Here is an 8,011-nt window from a genome sequence, read left to right as displayed (position 1 = left end):
GGAGTGCAATGACGCGATCTTGGTTCACTGCAACCTCCATCTCCCAAGTTCAAGTGATTCTCCTGCCTCAGCCTCTCAAGTAGCTGGGATTACAGGTGTGCACCGCCATGCCCAGCTAATTTTTGTATTTTTAGTAGAGACAGGGTTTTACCATGTTGGTCAGGCTAATCTCGAACTCCTGACCTCGTGATCTGCTCACCTTGACCTCCCAAAGTGCCGGGATTACAGGCATGAGCCACCACACCCAGCCAGGACCCCTACTTTCTATATTTCTTACTTCTATATTTCAGTCCTTGTGGACAAACCATAACCTAACTTAGTAGGTAGACAAGATCGAATGTTGTGGGAAGTCAGGAACCCTGAACAGAGGGACCAGCTGAAGCCACGGCAGAAGAACATAAATTGTGAAGATTTCATGGACATTTATTACTTCCCCAAATTAATACTTTTATAATTTCTTATGCCTGTCTTTACTGCAATCTCTGAACATAAATTGTGAAGATTTCATGTACACTTAGCACTTCCCCAATCAATACCCTTGTGATTTCCTATGCCTGTCTTTATTTTAATCTCTTAATCCTGTAATCTTCGTAAGCTGAGGAGGATGTATGTCACCTCAGGACCCTGTGATGATTGCATTAACTGCACAAATTGTTTGTAGAGCATGTGTGTTTGAACAATATGAAATCTGGGCACCTTGAAAAAAGAACAGGATAACAGCAGTGTTCAGGGAACAAGAGAGATAACCTTCAACCCTGACTGCCGGTGAGCTGGGTGGAACAGAGCCATATTTCTCTTCTTTCAAAAGCAAATGGGAGAAATATCGCTTAATTCTTTTCCTCAGCAAGGAACATCCCTGAGAAAGAGAATGCGTCCCTGAGGGTCGGTCTCTGAAATGGCTGCTTTAGGGGTGGCTTCTTTTACGGTTGCAGCTGTAGGGATGAAATAAGCCCCAGTCTCCCTTAGCGCTCCCAGGCTTATTAGGACAAGGAAATTCCCACCTAATAAAATTTTGGTCAGACCGGTTCTCTGCTCTCAAACCCTGTCTCCTGATAAGATGTTATCAATGACAATGCCTGCCCGAAACTTCATTAGCAATTTTAATTTTGCCCTGGTCCTGTGGTCCTGTGATCTCGCCCTGCCTCCATTTACCTTGTGATATCTTATTACCTTGTGAAGCATGTGATCTCTGTGACCTACACCCTATTCGTACACTCCCTCCCCTTTTGAAAATCGCTAATAAAAACTCACTGGTTTTATGGCTCAGGGGGCATCATGGAACCTGCCAACATCTGATGTCTCCCCCAGACACCCAGCTTTAACATTTTTCTCTTTTGTACTCTTTCCCTTTATTTCTCAGACCGGCTGACACTTAGGGAAAATAAAAAAGAACCTACGTGACTATCGGGAGCAGGCTCCCACAATATTTGAAAACCTAATTTAGGAGTATGTGCCTATAACAATAGCTGAGTCTTGGCCAATCCCAGCAGCCACACTTCAACCACTCATAGGCTGCTGAGTGTTCAAACTGTTCAAATAAGGCAAACACCAACCTGTAACTAATCCAGTTGTTTCTGTACCTCCCTTCTGATTTCTGTACGTCACTTTCCTTTTTTTGCCTGTAAATTTGTTCTGACCATGAGGCATCCCTAGAGCCTCTCTGAATCTGCTGTGATTCTGAGGGCTGCCTGATTTCGCGAATCATGATTGCTCAATTAAACTCCTTTAAATTTAATTCAGCTGAAGTTTTTCTTTTAACATGAGGGATCAGAATTCTCCAGGAACACAGTCTGGGAAGCACCGGGTGACAGACTACAGAGCAAGGTGACTGAGCCTAAATTGAAATCTCTATTTGCAGTACGACCTCAGCTCTCCTGAATGCTGAAGGTAGCTTCTGATAGCTGTATTTCGGTTTATTTCTATCTTTTTTTTTTTTTTTTAGAGATGTGGTTTCACCATGTTGCCCAGGCTGATCTCGAACTCCTGAGCTCAAGGGATTCGCTCACCTCGACCCCCCAAAGTGTTGGAATTACTGGTGTGAGCCACCATGCCTTGCCTGGTTTCTTTAATTTTTATGCTTCCCCTCATTTGCAAATCATGAGCTCCAATTTCTTGAAGCCTTCCATTCAGAAGACATCTAGGGGAAACTGAATAATTTATTTTCATACAACTTCATGCATGCTACTCATGCATGGTTGTGTTTTTCTCCTGCATTTATATAGGCAAGAAGCAGGTGAAAAATTAGCTTTAACCAGCATTTGGGGGAGTTCAAAGGGATTTACTTGAGAGACCAGCCAGGCCTGGCATATTTCTTTTGGGAGAGGTTGTGCATGGTAATTGGCCACATTATGAGAGGCTCAGGGAACAGTTATCGGGTTCCACTCACCCCACCCTCCCCACTCCTATAAAAAACAAAATATACCAGAGTGGTTCAGCTCAGAGTGTTTTTTGTTGTTGTCGTTGTTTTTTGAGACAGAGTCTCACTCTGTCACCCATGCTGGAGTACAGTGGTGCGATCTTGGCTCACTGCAACCTCTGCCTCCTGGGTTCAAGCAATTCTCCCACCTCAGCCTCCCATGTAGCTGGGATTACAAGCATGTGCCACCACACCTGGCTAATTTTTGTATTGTAGAGACAGGGTTTTGCCATGTTGATCAGGCTAGTCTTGAACTCCTGACCTCAGGTGATCCGCCCAAAGTGCTGGCATTACAGGCATGAGCCACTGTGCCCAGTCCAGATTGTTATTTTAATTTACTGGATTAATATTCTTCTCCTACTTGTCCTATACACAAAAGCTAAATGACCACCTATGAGATCAGCCAAGAACTTCACAACTCTGAGCAAGCCTAGAGATCAGCAGCTCCTGTTGACAGTTGATGTGATACCTTGGTTCTTGTCTTCTTGGCTTAAAATAATTTAAACAGGGGACACACAGCAAAGGAGGTGTAACATAGAGTAATCTGTTGCAAAAGAAAAATAGTATTTTGAAAGTTAGGTGCAGAATAGACAGTTGATATGGTTTGGCCCTGTGTCCCCACCCAAATCTCACCTTGAATTACAATCTCCATAATCCCCATAATCCCCATGTGTCAAGGGCAGGACCAGGTGGAGGCAATTGAATCATGGGGGCAGTTTCCCCCACACTGTTCTCATGATAGTGAGTGTGTTCTCATGAAATCTGATGGTTTTATAAGCATCTGGCATTTCCTCTGCTGGCTGTCATTCTCTCTCCTGCCACCCTGTGAAGAGGTGCCTTCCGCCATGATTATAAGTTTTCTGAGGCCTCCCCAGCCATGTGGAACTGTGAGTCAATTAAATCTCTTCTCTTTATTAATTACCCAGTCTTGGGTATTTCTTCCTAGCAGCGTAAGAATGGACTAATACAACAGTGCACCCTGAGAGAGTTCAGGGGAGGCTGCACGTAAGGATGAGACAGCAAAAACTGGCACTAGGGGACTCCCTTTCTGGAAGTCTTACATGATTATTCATAAGGTGGGAAAAGGTGTTGCTAGTAAGCATGTCCTAGGAGGTCTTCTGGGTGCACATGTGCAGTAGCCATACATATTTGTTCATACGTCTCATGTCTCATTAGCATCTTAAATCTCCACCCAGGGGTGTGTCTTTTACTATTATAATGAGCAAAGGGTCAGTCTGAGGACAGGTAAAATCAAAATGGACATGCTTTCTAGAGGGGAAAGTCCCTACTGAAGATAGCTTTGCTTGAATGACCTCAGTTACAATGCAAATGCTGAGGATTATTGTATTGGCTGTATGGTCATTGCGGTTGCTGCCTCCCAAGAACATGGTCGCTTCCTTGACCACCTATCCTGCCTCACTCCCAGGGACAGGACTGTAGCCAGCACTGTACTGATGAAACACGGCTGAACAAACCATGCAGCCCACCTGCTGGCATGCTTCTCTCTCCCATCACTTCCACAGACTGGAAGGGAGCAAGGCAAATGGCAGACTGGAGGCCTAGATCACCAAGTGAAGTTCAATTTTAATTGCTCTGGGCATCTCCAAAGTTCTGTGGGGGAAAAAAACAAAACAAACAAAAGAAAAAAAACCTGATCCAAAATGGTCCATTTTCTAGCAAAATATGTGATAAAGAACTGATGCTAGAAGATATAGAATATCTAAATGGACCAATAAACACAAGAAAAAAAATTAATAAAAATGACTATCCTATCCAACCTCCCACCCCAAAATGTCAAGGGCATATGGTTCCTCAGGTACACTTTTTTAAACCACCAAACTCTTGATTAAATCCAATTTTTCACCTATTCTGGTACCTATACCACCAGAGCAGAACAAACTAGAAAAAAGCACTGCTAAATTCAATTAATGACCACTAACCTCAACAGGTCTTTTAATTCTGCCTAGCAATAAAATTCTATTTCCCTGGACCATGTACCCCATCTACTCCTCCTTCTAGACAACCCTCTCACATCTTCTTTCTCCTCGAACCTCCATCATCTCTCCCATCCTCACCCTCAGCTGATGACCTGAGTTCATATTGTACTAGAAAAATAAAACAACCAGAAGAGAACATCCATGAGCCCCCTCCTCTATCACACCCATCCAACTATTTGTATCTGTACCATGTCCTGAGCCTCCCTTCCTGTTCACACTGTCTGTACTTCTATCTAAACTCACACCCCCTCCATTTACACACCAGATTCCATCCCTTCTCACTTACACAAGGCCACCACTCCAACTATTTTTTGCTGTCTACTGGATCATTCCCATCAGCATGCAAGTCAGTTATAATTTCTCCCTCTTTAAAAAAATGCAATTAACTTCCCTCTCTAGACTTTTCTGCTTCCCTTTACAGTAAAATTCCTTTAAAGAGTCCTCTGTGCTCCCTGGTTCCAATTCTTCCCTATTACCTCCTATTAGGCTCCAGCCAGCTTCTCCCCCAACCCCAACCACTCTCATCAAGGTCCCCTGTGGCCTCCACTGAGCCACAATCCTCTGCTCTCACCCCCCTCTCATGAACCACTCCCTCCTCCATGAAGCCCCTTCTGGTTTCCCTCCTCTCTCCCTGGTCCCTCATCTCAGTCTCCTGTGTTCACAGACTCCTTGTTGCTGAAGAGCCTGGGGTTCAGTCCATGGACCTCTTCATTTTTGTTTACTAAAACCACTCCTTTGATAATCTCACCTACTCTCATGCTTTCAAAGCCATCTTTATGTCGTTCTCAAATCTTATTTCCAGCCTGAACCTCCTCCCTGAACCCCACACTTGCCTATTCCCTTACATACATGAAAAGCATCTCAAATGCATCATGTCCGAAACTGAATCACTGATCATCCCCAGAAATCTACCCCTGCCTCTGTCTTCCCAATCTCAATAAATGGCAAACAAATCCTTCCAGTCACTCCAGCCAAAAACTGGAGTCAAATTTGACTTCTCCCATTTTGTCTTATCCTACATCCAATAGCCAACAAATCCCAGTGGATCCACCTTCAAGATTCGATGGGAGTCTGACCACCTCTGAACACCTCCATTGCTCCCACACTGGTCCAACCACCCTGAGCTGTCACCTGAAATAAGCCACCAGAAATACTCTCCAGTGACTCCTCCATTCATTGTAAAGATGACTCTTTACTCTCAGGGTCCCCTCTACCTCTGATGTGAATTCACACTTCTTTCCCCCTGGCTTAGCCCTCCTCATTCTGATCTTTTTATTGTTCTTTGAACACCCCGGGCAGTTCCCATCTCAGGGCTTTAGGACTGCCATTCCCTCTATTGATCTCTCAGTACATACACAGCTCATTCCCTCACCTCCTTCAGGTCTTTGCCCAAATGTCACTGTCTCTGTGAGGCTTCCCTGGCCTCCCCTTTTTTTTTTTTTTTTTTTTTTTTTTTTTTTTGTGAGACCGAGTCTTGCTCTGTTGCCCAGGATGGAGTACAATGGTGCAATCTCTGCTCACTGCAACCTCCGCCTCCTGGGCTCGAGCAGTTCTCCTGCTTTAGCTTCCTGAGTAGCTGGGATTACAGGTACCCACCACCATGCTTGGCTAATTTTTAGTAGAGATGGGGTTTCACCATGCTGGCCAGGCTGGTTTCAAACTCCTGACCGTAAATGATCTGCCTGCCTTGGCCTCCCAAAGTGCTGGGATTACAGGCATGAGTCACCATGTCTGGCCTCCCCATTTAAAATGGCAACCCCTGCCCTGCCTCCTAGCACCTCTGTCTCCTTCCTCTGCTTTATTTTCTCTAGAACACTTACCACCACCTGACATATTATATATCTTAACTATTTCTTTGTTTACAGTCTGCCTTCCCCTGCTAAGATGAAAGGCATTCTTGTCTATTTTGATCATTGCTGTATTTCCAGTGCCAGTACTTAATAAATACTTGTTGAATAAATGCATGATAAATTCTGAAGCTATTTAAACTTTTTCAATTGTACTGAGCAGGGCTCAGTACAAGGAAATCTACACACATAGTTTACCACATTTACACATCAAAGGTGGATCAAAAATTTTTTCAATAGGCATTTGAAAAACATTAGAAATGAAATACTTTAATAACAAGGGTGATTATATACTTAATATACAAATGTCTCTACTTTTTTAACTCAGTGGTAAGAATTTACTTTTTCAATCTCATAAAGAAGGGCTCTCTAAGCAAGATATAAACACAGAAAATAAAAGGGAAACATAATAAACTTGGCTATACACATTTTTTTTTTTGAAACAGTCTTGTTCTGTCACCCAGGCTAGAGTGCAGTGGTGCAACCTCAGCTCACTGCAACCTCCACCTCCCAGGTTCAAGCAATTCTCATGCCTCAGTCTGAGTCATGTGCCACCCGCCCCAACCCACCCCACCCCACCCCCAGCTAATTGTTCTATTTTTAGTAGAGACAGGGTTTCACCATGTTGGCCAAATTTGTTTTTAACTCTGATGAAAATGAGTTAAACAAAGTCAAAGATAATTTAAAACTAAGTCACAAAATATTTGCAACATATAAGAACTTGTTTTCTTAGTTTTCAAAAAATTTTCACACTATTTTTTTAAAAGACAAAAATCCCGTATGTCACTTTGATGCAAATTAGAAAAAGGACCCCCTTCCTCATCATACTTTACCTCCACTTTTTGGAAAAACTATCACAATGTGCTAATTTTATTAAAGCAAGACACTTCACTGGCATCTGCCAGAAAAATGGCATAATAAATATTAAAATCTATGATTTCTATGATGTGAATAGCATCTCCTAGGTTGGACAGAACTGAACAACTGTTAACATGTATATTCTAAATTTAGAGCATAGTAAACAGGATTTTTCACTTATATGAACATCCACCAGGATTAAAACATTGTGTTGGATGCAGGTAAATTCTTTTTTTTTTTTTTTTTAGGATGATAAACATTCTTTACCACTCCCCCAATTCCGTAATACCTGCAATCATTAAAACAATCAAAAATGCTCCCCAACCTTTCCAAAGTGTCCCCAGGAGATGGCATCCCCCCTTTGAGAATCAGAGGTCTAGAAGTCGGCAGGGGAGGCGGGTATTTTAACTCTTAATTTTATGCTTTTTGATGTGGTTTGGATGTTTATCCCCTCCAAATCTCATGTTGAAATGTAATCCCCAATGTTGGAGGTGGTGCCTGGTGGGAGGTATTGGATGATGGGGGCAGATCCCTCATGAATGGCTGGGTGCTGTCCTCGCCAAAATGAATGAGTTCTCTGGAGATCTGGTTGTTTAAAAGTGTGTGGCACCTCCCCCTCTCTCTTGCTCCTACTCTGGCCTAATCCCTATTCGCCTTCCACCATGAGTGAAAGCTTCCTGAGTCCTCCCCAGAAGCTGATGTGGCACCACACTTCTTGTACAGCCTGCAGAACCATGAGCCAATTAAACCTCTTTTCTTAATAAATTACCCAGTCTCGGGTATTCCTTTAAAGCAACACAAAAAAGGCCTAATATACTTTTCTGTACAGCTTGAATTTCACCATGTGCATACATAAAAAATGAATAACTAAAATATAAAAACATAAATAAATG

The 8,011-nt window shown here is 42.9% G+C and overlaps 1 annotated feature.

The window, feature by feature from the left end:
• Positions 2,883-4,082: an enhancer, noted in NCBI's record as "CDK7 strongly-dependent group 2 enhancer chr18:47076971-47078170 (GRCh37/hg19 assembly coordinates)". NCBI's record gives its function as "activates an origin of replication core promoter dependent on BRD2, BRD4, P300/CBP, MED14 and CDK7 cofactors, with strong dependence on CDK7, by STARR-seq in HCT116 cells {active_cell/tissue: HCT116}" and the evidence as "EXISTENCE:reporter gene assay evidence [ECO:0000049][PMID:35650434]".

This window comes from Homo sapiens, chromosome 18 (assembly GCF_000001405.40).
Source record: "Homo sapiens chromosome 18, GRCh38.p14 Primary Assembly".
Classification (NCBI taxonomy): domain Eukaryota; kingdom Metazoa; phylum Chordata; class Mammalia; order Primates; family Hominidae; genus Homo; species Homo sapiens.
Note: the sequence above shows the minus strand (reverse complement) of the source record. Positions and strands in the feature narration are given on the sequence as shown.